At 43.0% G+C, this 22624-nt stretch overlaps 1 long non-coding RNA gene across 1 annotated transcript; it reads left to right on the plus strand.

Annotated features, from left to right (window-relative positions):
• Positions 1-11852: 11852 nt before the first annotated feature.
• Positions 11853-12467, plus strand: LOC105379466 (uncharacterized). The gene is made up of 3 exons (XR_951012.4): positions 11853-12014; positions 12097-12217; positions 12321-12467. It is a non-coding gene; the product is annotated as an uncharacterized LOC105379466 (long non-coding RNA).
• The last annotated feature ends 10157 nt before the right edge of the window (positions 12468-22624 follow it).

Below are 22624 nucleotides of genomic sequence, written 5' to 3' on the forward strand. Positions count from 1 at the left end.
TATAATCCCAGCACTTTGGGAGGCCAAGGCAGGCAGATCACAAGGTCAGGAGATCGAGACCATCCTGGATAACACGGTGAAACCCCCTCTCTACTAAAAATACAAAAAATTAGCCGGACATGGTGGCAGGTGCCTGTAGTCCCAGCTACTCAGGAGGCTGAGGCAGGAGAATGGAGTGAACCCGGGAGGTGGAGCTTGCAGTGAGCCGAGATCCTGCCACTGCACTCCAGTCTGGGCAACAGAGGGAGACTCCGTCTTAAAAAAAAAGAAAGAAAAAAAAAGAAGCATGTTTATTTCATCATTTTGTACTTATACACTGTGTGTTTCCAGAAAAGCCTCTGAGACAGCTTAGAATGAAAGGCACAGACGCTATAAAACAAGGGCAAAATGACAGAATAATGAAGAGAAGGAGGTGACAATTACATGGGACAACCTAGGGAAGGAAACACTACCCTTCAGCCTAAAATTTAGTCCTAAGCCTCTTGTTCTTTAGGGCCAAAAGGAAAACCAGAATTCAAATAGGTGTCGTTAGTTAATAAAATAGTATCTGCATATGTCAGCAGCTATTTTTTGGTAACTCTAAACTCTTAAGCAAAATATATAAGTCTTTAAGCAACAGACAATGGACAATACAATAAAAATAATCTTCAATAGTAATTTCAAAACTTTTAAAGATGTAAGTACAAATGACCTTTTCTTACAGGATGCTTTTGAAAGCTGCCCGCATGATGGTATTTTAAATTACATGATGTTACATTGCCTCCATGATGGTATTTTATTGGGACCTCGTTATATGACTTGGTGAAGAATGTAACCTTTGAGAACTTAGAAGAGTGAATGGTTAATATTTCTCTGAATTTTTTTGTTTTTAATTGACATTTTATTTTATCCCTCATAGACAATATATGTTCTGGGAAATATACTGAAGTATAGTAAAAAAGAATCTCAGGGTTAAAGTGTTGAGGTAAATGAGAAAGCAGAGGTTGTGTCTGAAGAACCGTGTGGTCGGTCGCACTGCACCACACAGCAAACAAATATGCGTGAGCACAGGCCGGGCGCGGTGGCTCACGCCTGTAATCCCAGCACTTTGGGAGGCCGAGGAGGGCGGATCACGAGGTCAGGAGATCCAGACCATCCTGGCCAACAATGGTGAAACCCCGTCTCTGTTAAAAATACAAAAAATTAGCCAGGCGCAGTGGCGGGCGCCTGTAGTCCCAGCTACTCGGAAGGCTGCCGCAGGAGAATGGCGTGAACCCGGGAGGCGGAGCTTGCAGCGAGCCGAGATAGTGCCACTGCACTGTACTCAGGCCTGGGCGAAAGAGCGAGACTCTGTCTCGAAAAAAAAAAAAAAAAAAAAAATGAGTGAGCACTTTACCAGCAAATAAACACCAATGAGAGAGGGAACAGCAGTCACAAGATGTGTTTTAACAGAGATAGTTAATTAAATATTTTCTAATACACTTATTGAACCTAGATTTAATGGAATTTTTTTCCTTTCCTGACTTTGGCAAATGTGTGTATTTTTATAGAGAACATGGTTTTACATATGCAATTTTCAGACTTTAAGTCAGGCCCATCACCAACGCTCTATGAGTTGAGTGGCCTTGATATGTGGTCCATGTATTTTTGAATCAGGGGTGGGAGGCTATCAAATGAGTCAAAAGCTGATTTTCCTAGCTTTCATTATGAACACCTCTCTGGCTGCTCTTCTTTTTGACTTTACCAAACAAATTAGTTAGTATTCCTAAATGCAAGGTATATTAACATAAGAACTAAATAAATTTTTAAAATAAACACACACACAGACACACACACACACACACACACACACACAGCACTCTCCATATTTACTTCTACTTTGAATAGCAAACAAGCTGTGTTCCTGGGCCTGTGGAAGAAATATGAAGTTTGAAAAGATTTTTAAATAACTTTTTCTTAATGAAAATAACTCTGTAGTAATTACTGTTTTAAAAAGCCATTAGAATTTGAGCATAACACAGTTTCAATCTTGTCTCTATTCCAACTTAAAGTCCTGTCCAACAATCTCATTTTATGTTCTGTTGAATCACAAAATAAAAATTTGTATATTTTAAAGTATTTGATGGAGGAGGAGGAGGGAAGAAAGAAGAGGAGGAGGAGGAAGAGCATGCCAAATGCAGCTGGAGAAGGCCATGAAAAGAGAATTCTCACGCACATATGCCTGATAACAAGAACTATCACGAAAGACTGCAAAAACCACAATCTTGCCATTGCAACCTTGTAAAAAAACACTTCTGCAAGGACATATGTCCAGCAAATGCCTGTCCAACCTTGGACTGGCACCACCCTTGTTATTGATCCTTGTAATCAAGGATAACTATGTCAAAACAATTGTGTAATCCTCCACATTTTTTCTTTAAATACCTTTGTCTTCCTTTACCTCCCTGAATGCATACATAGTTGACTATGGCACATGTATTCCTACTGAAATACCCTATCCCCAACCCAGTGTTCTTTACAGAGTCTCTCTCTGTTCGTTATTTAGGTTGACACCTTGCACCTATTGATTGATAACATTTATTTTCCAGGATGCACTTATCATTGTTGTAATTAAGTATTAATTGTGCAATCATTTGCTTAATGCTCATAACTTCCTTCTTGACTGTACATTTGTTGAGGTCAAGTAGTATGTCTGTTTAAATCATTCCCTAGTTCCAGGGCTTGGCAAATTCCTTGGACCAGATGAGCTCAATGCATATTTGTTATGTGAGTGAATATATGACTGATACTAAAGTAACTTAAAAAATAATTTATACCAATGATTTATCTCTCTCTGAGTTGGTCCTTATAAATGCTATATGAATCACTCCAAAACAGTACCGACTCTCGTAACAAATCCCATGAATGTGTAATTTCATTTTAATGCTGAATTGGCCCAATTTTAAACAGCATCTGGATGATCCTTTGTAATGGAGTCCCATCTAAGTTCCTATTAAAAAAGAAAGAAAAAAAAATCAGTAAAACAAAGCAAACAATGTAAACTTAAAACAACACTAATTAGTAAAACTGACACCCAATATGCAGACTAATCTAGAAGGAATTTTTACTAACTATAAGAACAATTAAGTTAAACTGGCCCATCCATATTTTGTTTTATGAAATGGAAGAATTTCCTCAATATAAAACTCATGTAAGACGGTAGTTGCCTCTTCCCAGCCTGTCCCTGAGTCAGACTCTCGGAGTGTCCCAGAAAATGGACACTTACTCCTTTACGGCTCCATTCTTACTTTTTGAGGGGACAGGTCCTAGCCACTCTCACATATCTTACATACTAAGCTCCTAGAAAGATAGAGGATACAATAAAAACCAACCAACCAACCAACCATGTGTCAGGTGCCTGTCAGGCCTGGGCACACAGTTCACTCAAGAAAAGCCCTGGGAGGGGAGGCAGCAGAATTGCCAGTCTAGCAATTTGTAACTCCAGTGGCCCAGGTCTTAGCCACATGACCTGGCTGGCATTGTTCTCTCCCTTCTTGCTTCCCTCCAAGCATGAACTCAGCCTCTTTTCTTTCCTTCCCTCCCTATGTTACATTGTTATTTCATACAATGGGATTTTAATAAGTTTGGGGAGCCAGTAGAGAGGGATTATAAAGCAAAACAGGAAACTACTGATAAGCAACTTGCATCATACCAACTGGCCGTTGAAGATTATTTTTCAAGTAAAATACAGCCTTCCTTTAGAACCTCTACCCAGAAAGCAGTAACATCAATAATCTATAAAGTAGCACTCATTCTTGCCACCACCAGCACGCTGCATTATCCGTGCATGCTAGGTATTGTGTATGTCTTGTACGACAAGCCAAACAAAATACTAGAGGTCTCCACTTTAGCTTAGCTGAGCTATTCCAATAAATACTTGCTCACTACTGAGAGGAGCTGTGCATCCCCTGCAGATCAGAGAAAGGGCCTTAGCCAATTTCTCAAAGGTAGAAGAATCATTTAAAAAATGATCATTTCCTGTTAGATATTAATGATATGGTTTTGCTGTGTCCCTACCCAAATTTAATCTTGAATTGTAGTTCCCATGATCTCCATGTGTCCTGGGAGGGCCCAAGTGGAGGTAATTGAATCATCAGGCTGGGTTTTTCTATGTGCTGTTCTTGTGATAGTGAGTAAGTTTCACAAGATCTGATGGTTTTATACGGGGCAGAAAGGGAAGTTCCCCTGAACACACTCTTGCCTGCCACCATATGAGACATGCCTTTGCTCCTCCTTCGCCTTCGGCCGTGATTGTGAGACCTCCCCAGCTACCTGGAACTGTGCGTCCATTAAACCTCTTTTTCTTTGTAAATTACCCAGTCTCGGATATTTCTTCATAGCAGTATAAAAATACACTAAGACAATAATTGGTACTGGCAGAGTAGGGTACTGCTATTAAGATATCCAAAAATGTGGAAGCGACATTGGAGCTGGGTAACAAGCAGAGGTTGGAACAGTTTGGAAGGCTCAGAAGAAGACAGAAAAATGTGGGAAAGTTTGGAACTTCCTAGAGACTTGGAGGGCTCAGAAGACAGGACAATGTGGGAAATTTTTGAACTTCCTAGACATGTTGAATGGCTTTGACCCAAATGCTGATAGTGATATAAACCCTAATATCTGGGCCGGAGATGGAGATGAGGATCTTGTTGGGAACTAGAGCAAAGGTGACTCTTGTTAAGCTTTAGCAAAAAAGACTAGTGGCATTTTGCTTCTGCTCCAGAGATCTATGGAACTTTGAACTTGAGAGAGATGATTTAGGGTATCTGGTGAAAGAAATTTCTAAGTGGGAAAGTGTTCAAGAGGAAGTAGAGCATAAAAGTTTGGAAAATTTGCAGCCTGATAATGCAATAGAAAAGAAAAACCCTTGGCCGGGCGCAGTGGCTCACGCCTGTAATCCTAGCACTTTGGGAGGCTGAGGCGGGCGGATTGCCTGAGCTCAGGAGTTCGAGACCAGCTGGAGCAACATGGTGAAACCTCATCTTTACTAAAATGCAAACAATTAGCCAGGTGTGGTGACGTGCACCTGTAGTCCCAGCTACTCGAGAGGCTGAGGCAGGAGAATTGCTTGAACCCAGGAGGCAGAAGTTGCAGTGAGTCGAGATTGCGCCACTGCACTCCAGCCTGGGCAACAGAGTGAGACTCCGTCAACAAAAAAAAAAAAAAAAGAAAAGAAAAAAGAAAAACCGACTTTCATTAAAGCCTCCTGCAGAAATTCGCATAAGTAACGAGGAGCCAAATGTTAATCACCAAGACAATGGGGAAAATGTCTCCAGGACATGAAAGACCTTCACATCTTCACAGCAGCTCTTTCCACCACAGGCTCAAAAGCCTAGTATGGAAAAATCATTTCCTGGAGCAGGGCCAGGTCCCCCTGCTGTGTGCAGCCTAGAGACGTGATGCCCTGCATTCCAGCCACTCCAGCCATGGCTTGGGTGGGAGACACCATGGTACAGCTCAGGCCATGTCTTCGGAGGTTGCAAGTCGCAAGCCTTGGCAGCTTCCACAAGCTGTGGAGCCTGCAGATGCACAGAAGTCAAGAATTCAGGTTTGGGACCCTCCACCTACATTTCAGAGAATGTATGGAAACACCTGCATGTCCAGGCAGAAGTTTGCTTTGGCAGGGCGGGGGGCAGGGGCGGGCGCAGGGGCTCATGAACAACTTCTTTTAGGGTAGTAGAGGTGTGAAATGTGGGCTCTGTCCCCCATACAGAGTCCCTACTGGGGCACTGCCTAGAAGAGCTGTGAGAAGAGGGCCACCATCCTCCAGACCCCAGAATGGTAGTTACACCATCCTCCAGACCCCAGAATGGTAGATCCACCAACAGTTTACACTGTGTACCTGGAAAAGCCATACAAAATGCCAGCTAGTGAAAGCAGCCAAGAGGGAGGCTGTGCCCTACAAAGCCACAGAGGCAGAGCTGCCTAAGGCCATGGGAGACCACCATTTGTGTCAGTGTGACCTGCATGTGAGACATGGAGTCAAAGGAGATCATTTTGGAACTTTAATGTTTAATGACTGCCCTGTTGGATTTCAGACTTGCATGGAGCCTGTAGCCCCTTTGTTTTGACCAATGTCTCCCATTTGGAACAGGTGTAAATACATTGGGGGTACCCAATACCTGTACCCCCATTGTATGTAGGAAGTGACCAACTTGCTCTTAGTTTTACAGGCTCATAGGTGGAAGGGACTTGTCTCAGATGAGACTTTGGACTATGGACTTTTCAGTTAATGCTGAAATGAGTTAAAACTTTGGGGGACTGTTGGGAAGGCATGATTGATTTTGAAATGTGAGAACATGAGATTCAGGAGGTGCCAGGGGAAGAATGATATGGTTTGGCCATGTCCCTACCCAAATCTCATCTTGAATTGTAGCTCCCATAATCCCCATATGTCATGGAAGGGACCCAGTTGGAGGAACTTGAATCATGGGGATGGGTTTTTCCCTGTGCTGCTCTTGTGAAACAGAATAAGTCTCACAAGATCTGATGGTTTTATAAAGGGGAGCTCCCCTGCACATGCTCTCTCTCTTGCCTGCCACCATGTAAGACATGTCTTTGCTCCTCCTTTGCCTTCTGCCATGATTGTGAGGCTTCCCCAGCCATGTGGAACTGTGAGTCCATTAAACCTTTTTTTCTTTATAAATTACCCAGTTTCAGGTATTTCTTCATAGCAGTATGAAAGTGGACTAACACAATATCAAGCCCTGGTTTGGGGTAATAATCACTACCTTCTAGGTAACCAGAATGCAAAAAATATAACAGAAAAAAAATCCTAAAAATCATCCTGCATACAAGAAAAATGAAACCGCCATTCTCCATTCTCAATTAACCAGGGACACAATGCACTGCAGAAAGCCTCAGGGACCTCTGCCCAAGAAAGCCTGGGTGTTGTCCAAGGTTTGCCCCCACTGAGATGGGATAGAAGTCTCTGACTTCTGAACTGGACACAGGAGTTCTCAAAATCACCAGTCAAGGCAGTGAGATGGCATGGTAAATGGTAAGGGAGGTCTCTTTGCGGTTGAGATAAGAGGAATGCTTTGGTCTCCTGCTCATCCCTGGGAATGGAATGTCTCAGTGTAAAGCCGACCATTCCTATTCATTCTATTCTGAGATAGGAGAAAACCACCCTGTGGCTAGAGGTGAGATATGCTGGCAGCAATACTGCTCTGTTACTCTTTGCTAAACTGAGATGTTTGTGTAAAGAGGAACATAAATCTAGCCTATGTGCACATCTGGGCACAGTACCTTTCCTTGAACTTATTCATGATACAGATTCCTTTGCTCACATATTTCCCTGCTGACCTTTCCCCACCTGTTGCCCTGCTACACTCCCATCACTAACATAGTAAAAATAATGATCAATAAATACTGAGGGAACTCAGAGGCCAGCGCTGGTGCGAGTCCTCTGTATGCTGAGCACCGGTCCCCTGGGTCCACTGTTCTTTCTCTATACTTTGTTTCAGTGTCTTATTTCTTTTCTCAGTCTCTCCTCCCACCTGACGAGAAATACCCACAGGTGTGGAGGGGCTGGCCCCCTTCGATGTCTATTATGGTGGAGTGTTTCCAGTTCTGTCTTTCCTAATACTGCCCAATAGAAACTTGACTCCTAGAGTTTGTGTAATTTTAATATATTTTAGCCATTTCCCTGTCAATTTTTGTACCATACAATAACAAGGAATTTGACTAAATCTCTTAGGGTTTTTTAAAAAATTATATGAGAAGCTAAAAAATTTATTTTTACTAAGGTAAAAGAAAAAGGAATAATCACAACAATAGCCATAATTCTTCTGTCTATGAAGAGCCCTTCAGGTGGTGACATCAGAACTCACAACAACAGCATAAGGGAAGTAGAACAAATGCAGCCAAAGTCCCCCGTACACCTCCCTTTTCTCTTCTAACCACAGAATTCAATCGTGTATCCGTTTACTCTGGAATGAAAGTATCTGTAGAAACCATGAATGTTTCATCTGTTTTTCTTTTCTTTTCTTTTCTTTTTGAGACGGAGTCTTGCTCTGTTGCCAAGGCTGGAGTGCTGGTTGCTCTGTTGCTCTGTTACTCTGTTGCCCAGGCTGGAGTGCAGCTTACATCTTTGCTTCCTGGGTTTAAGTGATTCTCCTGCCTCAGTCTCCCGAGTATCTGTGACTCCAGGTGTGTGCCACTATGCCTGGCTAATTTTTTGTATTTTTAGTAGAGACCATGTTTCACTCTGTTAGCCGGGATGGCCTCAATCTCTTGACCTTGTGATCCACCCGCCTCGGCCTCCCAAAGTGCTAGGATTACAGGCATGAGCCACCGTATCCAGCCTCATCTGTTTTTCTAATGTGTAGTGTCCAGCCCTACGGGGTTTAGCAGGTGTTCTCCCTGTGTGCGGAGACGAGAGATTATAATAAATAAAGACACAAGACAAAGACATAAAGAGAAAGCAGCTGGGCCCAGGGGACCACTACCACCAAGACGCAGAGACCACTAGTGACCCCGAACAGCTGGACGGGCTGATATTTATTGCATACAAGACAAGGGGGCAGCGTAAGGAGGGTGAATCTTCTAAGTGATTGACAAGGTGAAGCAAGTCATGTGATCACAGGACAGGGGGCCCTTCCCTCTAAGGTAGCCGAAGCAGACAGAGAGAAGGCAGCATACGTCAGCGTTTCCTTCTATGCACTTATAAGAAAGAACAAAGACTTTAAGACTTCCTTCTACCATTATCTACTATAGACTTCAAAGAGGAACCAGGAGTATGGGAAGAACATGAAAGTGGACAAGGAGTGTGACCATTGAAGCACAGCACCACAGGGAGGGGTTTAGGCCTCTGGATGACTGTGGGAAGGCCTGGATAATTTATCCAACCTCTCACAAGAAGCTGGTGGAGTAGAGTGTTCCCTGACTCCTCCAAGGAAAGGAGACTCCCTTTCATGGTCTGCTAAGTAATGAGTGTCTTCCCAGACACTGGCATTACCACTTGACCAAGGAGCCCTCAAGCGGCCCTTATGGGGGCATGAGAGAAGGCTCACCTCTTGCCTTCTAGGTCACTTCTCACAATGTCCCTTCAGCACCTGACCCTATACCCGCCGGTTATTCCTAGGTTATATTAGCAATGCAATAAAGAGTAATATTAAAAGCTAATGATTAATAATGTTTATAATAATGATTGATAATTGCCCATGATCATCTCTATATCTAATTTGTATTATGACTATTCTATTCTAACAATTTTCTTTATTATACTGAAACAGTTTGTTTCAGTCTCTTGCCTTGGCACCTTGGTGACCTTTCGCCCACACTAATGGTCATATAATATAGTTTAGATGTCTCCTCCAAATCTCATATTGAATTTTAATCCCTAATGTTACAGGTGGGGCATGGTGGTAGATGGTTGAATCATGGGGATAGATTTCTCATGGCTCTGTGCTGTCCTTGTCATAGTGAGTACTCACGAGATCTGGTGGTTTAAAAGTGAAGCATATCCCTCCCTGATCTTTCCTGTTTCAACTCCTACCATGTGAGATTCCTGCAGCTCTTTCATTTTTCATCATGATTATAAGCTACTTTAGATGTTAATATTGTTACAAAATTTCACTGAATTTTCTTGTAAAATTACCTGACAAAGTTTATGTTATTATACCATTAATGTGATAAATAAATATATTATGACATTACAACATATTATGATATCATAATTCATATGTATTATGACATCACAATATATTATGACATCATAATGCACACACAACATGACATCATAATATATTATGGCATCATAATTTATACTACAACATCACAATATATCATGACATCATAATGCACATGTATTATGACATCAAAATTCATAGGCATTATCACGTCACAGTATATTGTGACATCATCATCAGTATGTGTTATGACATCACAATATATTATGACATTATACTTCATATGTATTATGGCATCACAGTACATTATGACATCGTACTTTGTATATAATATGATGTATCATGAATTATTATGTAATTGATATGTATTACATATCTATTAGATGGCTCTGGATGTCTTGGGCTCTGTGGGGCAGGCTGGGGGTCAGAGGAGACACACATGCTGCAGATGGGGAGACTGGGGCACAGGGTCCTGGGGTTCCAGGAGCAGTGAGGAGGCCAGGATTGGCCTGTGGGGACTTTGATGTTGGCTCTGGGTGAGGTGGCTACTGTAGGTGTGAGCACAGCAGTGCTTGGGGGCTCAGGTGGCTGCCAAGGGGCAGATGGATGGAGGGGACAAAAGCTACAGCCCAGCAGGAGGGCAGGGTGGCCATGAGGGTTGTAAAAGTGATGCCAACAGCATTTGTGGGGGATTGGCTGTGGGTGTGAAACAGCAGCAGCGGAACAATTCCCAGTCATTCTGGCCTGGAACAGTGGCAGGTGAACTCTGCCCAGTTGTGGAGGGGTCTGTCAGGAAGATGGGGCTTCTGGTTTCAGAGGAGCCCAGAGATGTGCTCAGGCAGATGAGGGTCCTCATGGGATAGGCATGGGAGAGGCAGCTGCAACTTGGGGACCACTGGTGGTGGGCTGAGCCCCTGAGACCTCTGGAGTGAGCAGGAAAGAAAGTGAGGAGGAGCCAGCCAGGGAGCCAGAGGCAGAGGGAAGAGAGGAAAGTAGACCCCGGGAGGAGCAGACAGGAAAGGATGAAAATTTCCCCTCACCTGCCTCAACAGCCTCTGCCCCTGCCCACACACCCTTGTGCACTCCCCCTGAGTCCCTGCTCACCTCTGCCTACCCAGCCATCCCAGGATGGTGTGGGCTCAAGCTCTGGGGGTAACTGAAGAGCCACTTTAAGAAGGCACAGTCTAGAAGTGAGCAGCATTGAGTCACTGTTGTCTCCCAGTCCTGGGAACATCCTGTGCCACAGTTTGCTGAGCTGTCTTAATCACCAGTGGGTCCCCATCTCCCACCCCTGGAATCCCAGAGGACAGCTCAGAGTTGTGATTGGTGCCTCTTCCCAGCGTCTCTCTACACAGCTCCCGGCTGTGCTTCAGCATCCTCCACCGAAAGGTGGGCCTGTCGCTGCATGTGAATGGCAAGGAGGTCACTGTGGGGAAGCGGCTGCCTCCTTTCTCTTTCCTGGGCCCCTAGTGCCTCTCTCCTGGGGGTAAGGCAGTTGAGCCTACCCACAAGTCCAGGCAGGAAGGCAGCCCCACCCCAGCACCCAGAAATTAGAAAAACTAGCTGAGGTGTGAGAGGGGGAATGGTGACAGCCCTGGAAGTCAGGATAAAAAAGAGACGAAGCCTCCAGGCCGCCATCCTCACCAGTGCCCGCCGGGCCCTGAAGCTCTGCAGGGGGTGGCTTATGGGCTCAGAGGCTTGTGGACCAAGGCTTCTCAGCTGCTTCTGAGGCTCCCAGCTCTGCAAGGGGCTGGGTTTCTTCTCCTGGTAAACTGCTCCCAATGCCTGTCCTGACTCACTCACTTAGCTGGGCTACCTGCTGGGCCTCCTTCCTGGTGGGCCCTCCCCATGTGCCTCCCTGTGCAGGTGGGGTATCCCCTCGAGACTCCATTATTCTTTGAGGCTTTCAGGCCAGGATGAAGAACCCCAGCCTCTCAGCAGGAGCAGCCACTTGGGGGAAGCAGAGGGAATAGAAAGGCACACATTGCCAGCTCTGAGCATGACTGGGTGGGGACATTGTGTTGAAGCTCCTGGGAGCCTCATTCAGCCCAAGTAGATGTCCTTGAAATGTCAACACTCTCCCTACACAGGAGAAAAACATGAGACTCGGAGTGGGCAGGGTGATCTTGAATCGGGGGTCTGGTCAGATTGGTCTCTGTTCCTCACCTCAGCTATGGCCTTCATGTGTGCTTCCACCAGCAGAGACCCCTTCCTGGACTTTGCCCCAGTGGATGGACAGGAAACTGCCAGCCATGCTGGCCACCACAACCAACTTTCACTGCCTGGCTCCTAGCAACCCCACTCTCTCCATCTCCTGGCTGAAGAACCACAAGAGGTCTAAGGAGAGCATCACATCAGGATATTGAGGTGGGCCTGGAAGTTGGTGGGAGTGTGGGCTGGATGTGGAAGGTGGGACCTGTCTTTTGCTTACCTGTCCTTCCACCTGGAGCTATGGCACCAGAAGTAGACCCTGATCATGGAGTGTGGTGCCCTCAGACTGCTTTCATCCCACCTCTGTGATGAAGAACAAGTGCAGCAGCCTTCAGCAGACATGCATGCTGGACAGCTGGGTGAGGACTGTGGCCTGTGGGCAGGGTGCAGGGAGCTAGGCAGCCTCTGAGCTCTCATCTATTCTCTCAATGTGCCCTCCTGACCAACTCTTTCTACCTGCAGGACTGCTGACCAACCAGATGCAGTAAGGTGAAATTCCACTGCAAAGTGTATGGCAACTTAGTATGTGGAGGTGAACAACAGCAAGGTGGGTGTCAATGGCATGCCCTATGTGACTGTGCTTAGGTTAGCTGCTGCTGCTTGTCAGGAGCATGGGGATGGCATGCCGATGCTCCACTTCACTAAACTCTACCATCATTATAGAAGTTTTGGAGTAGCCTATGAAAGACAGAATCATGTCATTATCCAAGAGACAAAATCCTCTAGAGTAAGCAGTTCTCCTGGATATAAACTTGGTGCTGGTTCATTTAGCATTTGCTACGAACCAATGTCTAAAATTAGAGGCAGTTTCTCCTAAAGTGAGATGACATGAGTCAGTTGATAAAAGTGTGAAGCACTCCTGTGAGTATTGTCCCTCATAATTCATTCAAAAACATTTGCTTCTGTCTTTGCAACTTCATGCTCTCTGAATTCCCACACTGAGTAAAAACCTCCTTGGTGGGCTTATAATCAATCTCACGTATTTAACAATTTGGATTTTATCTTACGTTCCGCTATAAAATATGGAACAAAATCGGTTTGATTTACAGTAGATGTAAAATAGAAAAATTAGGATGGGCTATTCTGGACATGTAGAATTAGTTCCTTTTATGAGTTTTCTACAAACCTGTATTTATTACACTAAAATAATGCTAAAATATATTTTGTTTTATTGTGTGGAGTTTAAATGGATACACTGGATAATGGAATAACATTAACTAAATAAACATTGATGCCTATTTTTTTCAGTGTTTTAAAATTTTTTAACAAAGATTTCTTTTTACGGTAAAATTGCACTTCATTAAATCTACTCCTAAATATTTCTTTCTTTTTCATACATACACAAATGGATTGTTTTTTTAATTTTATTTTCAGGTTGATCATTGTTAGTACATAAAAGTACAATTGAACTTTGCATATTGATTTTGTATCTTGTGACCTTGCTGAACTCATGTATTGGTTTTAGTGGGTTTTAATGAGTTTTTTATAAACTTTTATATTCACTTATGTCCTCTGCAATGATAGACAATTCTAACATCTTATTTTCCCACATTGATGATTTTGTTTTTTTCTCTCATGTAATTTCTTTGGATGTTAACATTTTTGCCTTGTTCTAAAATGTCAAGACACAACAACCAGTATTTTACTATTATGGCGTTAGGTGTAAGTTTTTCATTGATGCTCTTTAGCAGATTTAGGAAGTTTGCTTGTACCCTTCCTTTCCAGGGAGATTGTGAATGAATATTGGATTGGTCAAATGCTCCCTGTGTCTGTTGAAAGGCTCTTTCTGTTAATTTCCTTTATCCTATTACTTTGTGTAAGGCACTGATTGATTATCGGATAGATCAATATTGCATCTGTAAAATAATTCCATTTGGTCATGGTGTACATTCATTTTGATATATTCTTGATTCATTTCGCTTTTTTGAGAATTTCTCTGTGTGTATTCATCAGGGAAATTCGTCCATACACATATTTACTTCTGATGCTTTTGTCTGCCTTTAGTATCAGGGTAATACTGGCCTCACAGAACAAATTGGGAAGTGTTCCCAATAACTGTCCCATATTTTCTGGAAGGCCTTGTAAAGAGTTGGCATTAATTCTTCATTAAATGTTTAGTAGAATTTACCAGTTAAGCCATGTGGCTCTGGGCTTCTCTTTTTGTGAAGATTTTTAATTAATTGAATCTCTTTACTTGTTATATGTGTATTCATATATTCTGTTCCTTCTTGGATTTGCTTTTATAATTGGTGCCTATTGAGGTATTTATTTCTAATTTGTAGTATTTCATGTGTTTAGGTTTTCTAGACAGTTGGCACAGAAGATTCAAGAAGTTTAATGTAGGAGAATGTTTAATGTAGGAGAATGAGGCTTTGGTGTCATCAATGAATGACTTAAGTTTCTTATGTTGTAAAGAAAGATATGACCGTAACTGCCATAGTTAATATTTATTGTGCAAGTCAAATAAGAAGGCAGGAGGAAAGGACATCCATCACTCAATCACACACCAGTGTACTCATTAAAGCCTTTGAGAAGGACCCTCAACATTTTCCAAGAGAATTCCTTTCCTGGAATCACCATTATAGAGAAACTGGCTAAACAGACAGGCATTTCAGAGTCCAAAATTTACATTTGGTTTCAGAACCAAAGACCTCAGCTCCCAGGCCACAGCAGAAGCGGGCTTGTGAATTCCCTGGCAGCGGGTCCAAGACCAAGACCTCATCTGACTGTTTGGCTGGAACAAAACATGTGCACTACCCCAGGCAGGTCTCATCTTCCTGCCTCCTATTCTGTCAGCAGCCACCTGTCATTTGTACCAGCTCTTCCTTCACCTCCCACAACCTGTGATTTTTTGGATCCCTCTGCAGGCTGTGTGAGCCAGGCACCAAGGGTCACGATGCACATAGCACCCTGGCTGTGCAGATGGGAGAGTTCTCTCAACCTCTTCTGGCACTTAGGAGTCATATGTCAATGGTACCAACTCTAGGAGGGAGGCTCTCCCATACACAGACTTGTTTCTGGCCTCAGTCGAAAGGAAAACTTTAGGATGACAAGAAAAATAAGACACTGGCCTGGAAGTTCTGCCTTAAAGGGACAGCCACAGCCTGGTCATCCTTAGCCACAATTTTAGAGTCTGGGTCAACAGGACACATCCCACCTTCAGAAGTGGTGGAGCTTAGGCAACGGGTCCCAGGATGCCATGATTCAATGGCAACCTGGAGCAGGAGCACCTTAGTAGCCCATGCACATAGGTCTACCTGTGGCAGAAACAGGCACAAGCCATGAAAGAGCCATCTATCTGCTGGAGCAACCACACCAGTCATCTGCATGATCTTCTACAAGTCCCAGAGTTTCAGGAAAAGGCACAATCTTTTCAGAATGCAGATCCACAAGAGGAGGGCCCTCCGTGGTCTGAATCACCACTCAGTGAGAAAGAATTTCAGGCTCTGCTTAACAGGCTGCAGAGCTCACCAGGGGATCAGCTTTAGCAGGCAGGCATCCTTCTCAGCACTGCCATCCAGGACTCTTTCCCTTGGACACAAACAGCAAAATGCCAGGAAGACGGGACCAGGAACACAGTGTGGTCAGAAGCAAGACTGATGCAAGAAGCAACCACTTGGAAATCCAAAGGGAGCATTTTGGCCCTCTCCTGTGGGCAGCCCTCAACTTTGGTGCTCACTTCCTAACCTCAGTGACGGTTTCTGAGCTTCATCCTGCCTCTGGAGTCCACATGGGCTCCAGGTGGTGAACAGTTTCACTGAATCCTGATGCAGCAAAGCAACATTCTCATGACAAACAGGACCTCTTCACTTTGATCATAAGCTCCTGGGCCATCTGGACAATGCACAAACTGGAAACCCAGCACGGGGAGGAAAGTAGCTCTAAGGGGGACACATTCCCACTTCTTTCCCTTCTAGCAAGTTTGAAAGCTAATTGTAAATGCAGGTGGATATGTAGAAAATGAGGGCATGCTATAACATCTCATCACATGAGGTTGTGACCAGGAGTTTTTAATCCTAGCTCTGAGAGCTGCAAATGGGAATTGGAAGTTTTTCCACTAAGCATCTATCAATGACTGATTGTGCAAGCTTATCTTCATCATGCTGAGGAGTCTTCACTGAGAATTTTCCTATTGAACAAATAAACATAGAGATAGTGACAAGTAGGCCAGGCATAGAGGCTCACGCCAGTAATCCCAGCATTTTGTGAGACCAAGGTGGGCAAATCAGTTGAGGCCAGGAGTTCGAGACCAGCCTGGGCAACATGTCAAAACCCCGTCTCCACTAAAAACACAAAAAACAGCTGGGCATGGTTACTCATGCTGGTAATTCCAGCTATTCGGGTGGCTGAAGCCTGAGAATCTTCTGAACCCAGGAGGCAGAGGCTGCAGTGTGTTGATATTTTGCCACTGTACTCCAGCTTGGGCAACAGAGCAAGACTCTGTCTCAAAAAAAAAAAAAAAAGAAGCAAGTGAGTAAGAGAGAGAAAACTATAAAATCACTGAACAAAGTGTAAAGATGTTAATTTTCCCACAACGTTAGAAATTTTGTGTATATTTACATGCATATCTACACATAAAGCTGATCTCCTTATATGTTAAATCAGTTACATGTTCAGTGAAAAATACATTATTTTCTCTGTTTTAACACTGAAGAGGGGTGCACGTGGTCCAGACATGTCCTGTTGGAGTTGAATGGGGCATGTTCTGGGAAAAGGGGAAAGGCAGAGTAAGGGCCTGGTGCATTTAGGTGGGGTAAAGTGGGAACCTAATAGAGAGGCATCCAGGGTCTGGGCCCTAGCAACACTGAGGCTCACGGGGGCTTCTGCAGGTGAGGGAAATGGTGCAGGGTGCTGAAGGCTAAAATATCCTGTAACAGGCGAAGATCTGGCCAGATCGTCCTGCATCCCAGCATCATTGCCAGCCAGGCCTAACTTGACCCTATATTGAAGACACCTGGGATGGACAGGCGTGAGCCTCCAGGCTTCAAAGAGCCCCCAAATGAGATCTGCCCTGCGGCAAGGGTCCAGACCGTTACGGCCAGGCCAATTTAAAAGAGCCCCATCTCCTCTGTTCTCAGAGGCTTATGCGGGTGGAGAACAGATAAGAAGTGAACTGAAGTCTCCTTGAAAAAAACAAAGTCCCATGGGGTTTGCCGCCCCCTCCCCCCACCCACCTAAAACTGGAACCAGTCAGCCACCTCTGTCTCTTCTCCATGCCAAGAACCTCTGTTCAGGGCTCCTGGCAAACCCCTCCTCCCTGCTGCCTCCCCACCACAGTATGCTTGCCAGGAATGCCCGAGATCTGGCACCTGAGCATGTTGCGTGGCAGGCGGGGGAGCAAGCGGGACAAGGGCGGCGATGTGTCCTGCACAAAGGCCCAGGCTGCAGACCAACTCGCCTCGCAGCAGGTAGCAGCTGTGTGCCCCCTGCCAGGCCACTCCCCCTCCCGGAGCAGCAGCTCCCGCTGCCACTTCTGTTTGTTGAACACAGGATGTATGAATGACGGCTAGGGGGCCAAGGATGGGGATGGTGGCGACATCTGGTACTGTTGTAGTAAAACTCCAGCCAAGGAACACGAAGAGACCTTTGGAGACCAAAGAGAACTTTATTTAATTCAGGCACCTGAGCCAACAGCAGGCTCATGCCCAAAATGGCTGCCGACCCCTGCAAAGAAAGCAGGCTTGCTTAAGTGCCGTTTGAGGCGGGAAAACAAGGCAGGTTACAGGTTTCAGACAAAGACAGTAAATTATCCAACCCGTGACAATTCGGAGAGAACTTACAATTTAGTTATTTTGTCCAGTCAACTTTGAAGCTGAACAGAGCTGGGGTAAGGGAAAACACGAATTACAGGAATATGCGGGGGTCTGGAGGCAGGCAATAAGCTTGGAAGATTGAGATAAGCTCGCAGCTGCAACTTGTTAGCAATGCTGGAATGGACTGCTGGAATTTCTTAGCCTATGTATAACTTCTAAGTAACCTATGCTGAATGTTAACTATTACCTATGTTAGGTTTATTATTTTAAACTTTATTATTACTTATTTTATTTTATTTTCTTTCCACAGTATCTCTTACCATCCGGCCCAGGCAGCAGCCAGCCCTGCCTGGGCCGCGGCCGCCGGCCTCATGAGCCTGGCATTCCTGTCGCCCCCTCTCCCCATAGCTTGCCTCCTCCTTCTCACAGTCGGGCGCCCGGCTCCTCGAGACGCAGGACCACCTCAGATCTCCAGTCCTGCACCTGCCGGCTGAGCAAACGAGGAGACGGGGAGAAAAGCTGTCTGTCGTTCCTGAAGGAACAGGACCTCCGCACTCCAAGAAGGAATCGGGCGCCCAGTGGGGGCTGCAGGAGCAGAGGACGGTGGCGGCAGTAGCAGGAGAGGCAGGAGTAGGAGCAGTGGCTTCTCTGGAGGTGGCACTGTCTGCCCCCTTGAGCCTCTTCCTAACGCAGTCTTGATTCAAAATCCCTGCTCACCACGGATGCACAGTCACAGCTGAAGATTGTAGTTATCTAGGAGGATTCTTTCTTAGTTGTAAATCTATGTTTTATATAGGAGTTTTTTCGTTGTTTCTCTCATTCTTTCTTGAAATTTCATATTACTATTTTTTTTTTCTTTTTTGGTAAGTTCCTTGACATTCGTGTTTTGTGAGTTTGGTTTTACCTACGTATTATGATTTTGGATGTAAATCTGCAACTCTATGTACATGTTAAGTCAATGTGATGTTTAATCAAAATATGAATCAGCCATATCTACCACCAATAAAATCGTGTGTTTGTTTGCCTCTGTAAGTATAGTCTATTTCTTCTTAATTATCTTGCATATTTCTCTTCTTGGCTGGTGTCAAAAGTTGTTTTATCTTGTTCAGGACAGTAGTCATATAAGTAGTCTTAACTTACCCACGTATTTATTGAACAAATCTATATTTTCTTTGTGTGAGGAAAACACATTTATAATTTGAAGGTAATTTTCCAAAAAGTTTGTAACTCGGTATCTCTTTTATGTATCACTTTACAATATTTTAACTGTAATAAAACACAACAAAATTTACCAGTCTATACATTTGTAATTGCATAATTTATTAGTGGTACATATATCCACATTGTTATGCAACAGGCTTCTAGAGCTTTTCCATTGCAAAACTAAAACTCAATACCCATATACGTCAACTGCCCATTTTACCCTCTCCTGAGCCCTTAACATTTTACTTTCCATTTCTGTGAGTTGGACTACTTAAGATATCTCATAAGTGGAATCACACAATCACTGTCACTTTGTTTCCTGGCACATTTCACTTAACATCATGCCCTAAAGGTTTATTGTCATTGCAGCATGTGATAAGATTTCCTTTTAAAATCATATTTCATTGTATGTATATATCATATTTACTTATTTATCTGTCAAGGGACATTCAAGTAGCTTCTACCTTTTGGATTTTTAGAATAATTCTGTCATAAACATGGGTATGTAAATGTTTCTTTCAGGTCCCGCTTTGCACATTTAGATAGATATCTAGAAATGGTATTGCCAGACCACATCATAATTCCAATTTTAATAATCTGAGGAAACTCTGTACTATTTTTCATAATGGCTGCATGATTATTTTTTCCACCACCCAGTGCACAAATATACCAATTTCTCTACATCCTTGAAAACACTTGTTATTTTCTCTTATTTGATAGTGGCCATCCTAATGAATGTGAGGTAATATCTCACTGGGGTTTTGCTTTTCATTTCTCTAAAGATTCATGATTTGCAGCATCTTTTAAAATTCCTCTTGGCCGTTTGTATATCTCCTTTGTAGAAACATGTGGGTGTGAAGGATTACCTAGGTGCCGAGGCAAGAGACTGAAGGTAAAAACTGTTGCAGTATAATAAAGAAAACAGTTAGAATAAAGAATAGTTATAACACAAATTAGATATAGAGATGATCATGGACATTATCCATCATTAGTATAAACATTATTAATCACTAGCTTTTAATATTACTCTTTGTTGTATTACTCATATAACCAAGGAATAACTGGTGGGTATAGGGTCAGGTGCTGAAGGGACATTGTGAGAAGTGACCTAGAAGGCAAGAGGTGAGCCCTCTGTCACACTCACATAAGGGCCGCTTGAGGGCTCCTTGGTCGAGCGGTAATGCCAGTGCCTGGGAAGGCACCTGTTACTTAGCAGACCATGAAAGGGAGTCTCCTTTCCTTGGAGAAGTCAGGGAACACTCTGCTCCACCAGCTTCTTGTGGGAGGCTGGATATTATCCAGGCCTGCCCGTAGTCATCCGGAGGCATAAACCCCTCCTTGTGGTGCTGTGCTTCAGTGGTCACGCTCCTTGTCCACTTTCACGTTCCTCCCATTCTCCTGGTTCCTCTTTGAAGTTCTTAGTAGATAGCGGTAGAAGGAATAGTGAAAGTCTTAAAGTCTTTGATCTTTCTTATAAATGCATAGAAGAAAACACTGATGTATGCTGCCTTCCCTCTCTGCTTTGGCTGCCTAAAAGGGAAGGGCCTCCTGTCCCATGATCACATGACTTGCTTGACTTTATCAATCACCTGGACGACTCACCCTCCTTACCCTGCCCCCTTGTCTTGTATGCAATAAATATCAGCGTGCCCAGCCATTCGGGGCCACTACTGGTCTCTGCGTCTTGGTGGTAGTGGTCCCCCAGGCCCAGCTGTTTTCTCTTTATCAGAAAGCTTACTACATTTGAGGTAGACCCATTTTCCTGCTTTTTTCTTGTTACTTCTGCTTTTAATGTCATGTTAAAAAAATTATCAAGACAAATGTCATGATTTTTACCTTATATTTTAAGACTTTTATAGCGATCTTACTTACATTTAAGTGTTTAAGATAGTTTTCTATATGGTGCAAGTGAAAAGTCCAATTTTATTTTCTTCCATTTTGATACTCAATTTTAGAACACTATTCTGTTCTTCCCTGTTGTTCGGTCATGGCAGCCTGATTGAAGATTATTTGATGATATTCATAAAGGTTTATTTCTGGGTTCTCTATTCTGTTCCATCATCTATTTGTCTTTCTGCTTGTATTGCTATAGCTTTATAATATATTTTGGAATCAGGAAGTGTGATACCTCTAACTTTGTTCTTCTCCACAGCTACTTTGGCTACTCATTGTCCCTTGAGATTCCATATGAATTTTAAGACTTAATATTTCTGAAAAAAATGTAACATTGGGATTTTGATAGAAAATACTTTGAATTTGTGCTTCACTGTGAGTAGTATTGACATCTTAATAATATTAAATTTTTTGACCCTTGAACAAGAAGTCAAGAGTGTTCTGTTTTAAGTTTCACATATTTTTTCATTTGCCAGTTTCCTTCTTCTTGTGATTTGCAGCTGAGGTCTTTTTACGCTGCCCATGCTGGTCTCCAACTTTTGGGCTTAAGCTATTCTCCCTCCTCAGCCTCCTGATGTGTTTCAATTACATGGATGAGCCACTGCACCTGGCCTCTTTATTGTTTTTCTGATATTTTTAGGATTTGAAGGTAATTTTTGAAAAGATTGATAAATATGTATCTCTTTAGAAAGTTTTTCACTATTAATGTAGTCAAAACCACATAAAATTTACCATCTTAAATATTTTAAGTACATAGTTAAATAATATTAAATATATTCACATTGTTATGCAACATATCTCTAGAATGTTTTTATGTTGCAAAACTAAAATTCAATAGCCATGAAACAACAACTACCCTTTTATCTCCTCCCCTGAGGCTCTGACTGATACTATTCTACTTTCTGTTTCTAAGAGTTTAACTATTTTAGATATTTAACTGGAATCACACAGTGTCCTTTTATGACTCATTTATTTTATTTACATAATGTCCTCCAGATTTATCCTTAGTGTAAAAATAATCAGATCTCCTGCTTTTAAAAAACTGGATAATATTCCATTATTTGTATATTCCAATTTGTCTTTATTCACTGATTCATTGAGGGACATTTGGGTTGCTTCCACCTATCAGCTGTTGTGAATAATGTTGTGCAATGAATATGGATATACAAATAACTCTTCATTTGGCCATATATATGACAGTTTATTTCTGTGCTCTATTCTGTTCCATTTGTCTGTGTGTCTGCCTTTATGTCAGTACTAAATAGTTTGGTTACTGTAATCTTGTAATACATTATAAAGTCAAGGAGTGTGATGCCTCCAATATTATTTCTTTTTTTGAAGGTTGTTTGGCTCCTGAGAGTCACTTTAGATTCCATATAAGTTTTAGAAATGTTTTTTGTATTTCTGCCAAGTGAAATGACAGTTAAAATTTGATAGAGATCTCATTGAATCTGTAGATCATTTTGGGTAGTGTGGACATCTTCACAATATTGTCTTCCAACCCTTGAACGAGAGCATGCAGAAGAGTGTGTTGTTTAATTTCCACATATTTGTAGATTTTCCATATTTCTTCTGCTATTGATTTCTAATTTTATTCCCTTGTAATAAAAAATGATTGTAATATTTTAATCTTTTTTTTGAAACAGAGTTTTGCTCTGTTGCTCAGGCTGGAGCACAGCGGCTCAATCATGGCTAACCAGAGCCTCGATCTCCCAGGCTCAAGCAATCCTCCCCCGTCAGCCTCCTGAGTAGCTGGACGCACAGGCATGTGCCATTATGCCCAGCTAATTTTTAAATTTTATATTTTCTAAAGAGAGGGTCTCTTTATGTTGCCCAGGCTGGCGCCGAACTCCTAAACTCACTAATCCTCCCACCTCAGCCTCCCAAAATGCTGGAATTATAAGAATGAGCCACAAT

The sequence above is a fragment of the Homo sapiens genome, chromosome 16 (genome assembly GCF_000001405.40).
Source record: "Homo sapiens chromosome 16, GRCh38.p14 Primary Assembly".
Classification (NCBI taxonomy): domain Eukaryota; kingdom Metazoa; phylum Chordata; class Mammalia; order Primates; family Hominidae; genus Homo; species Homo sapiens.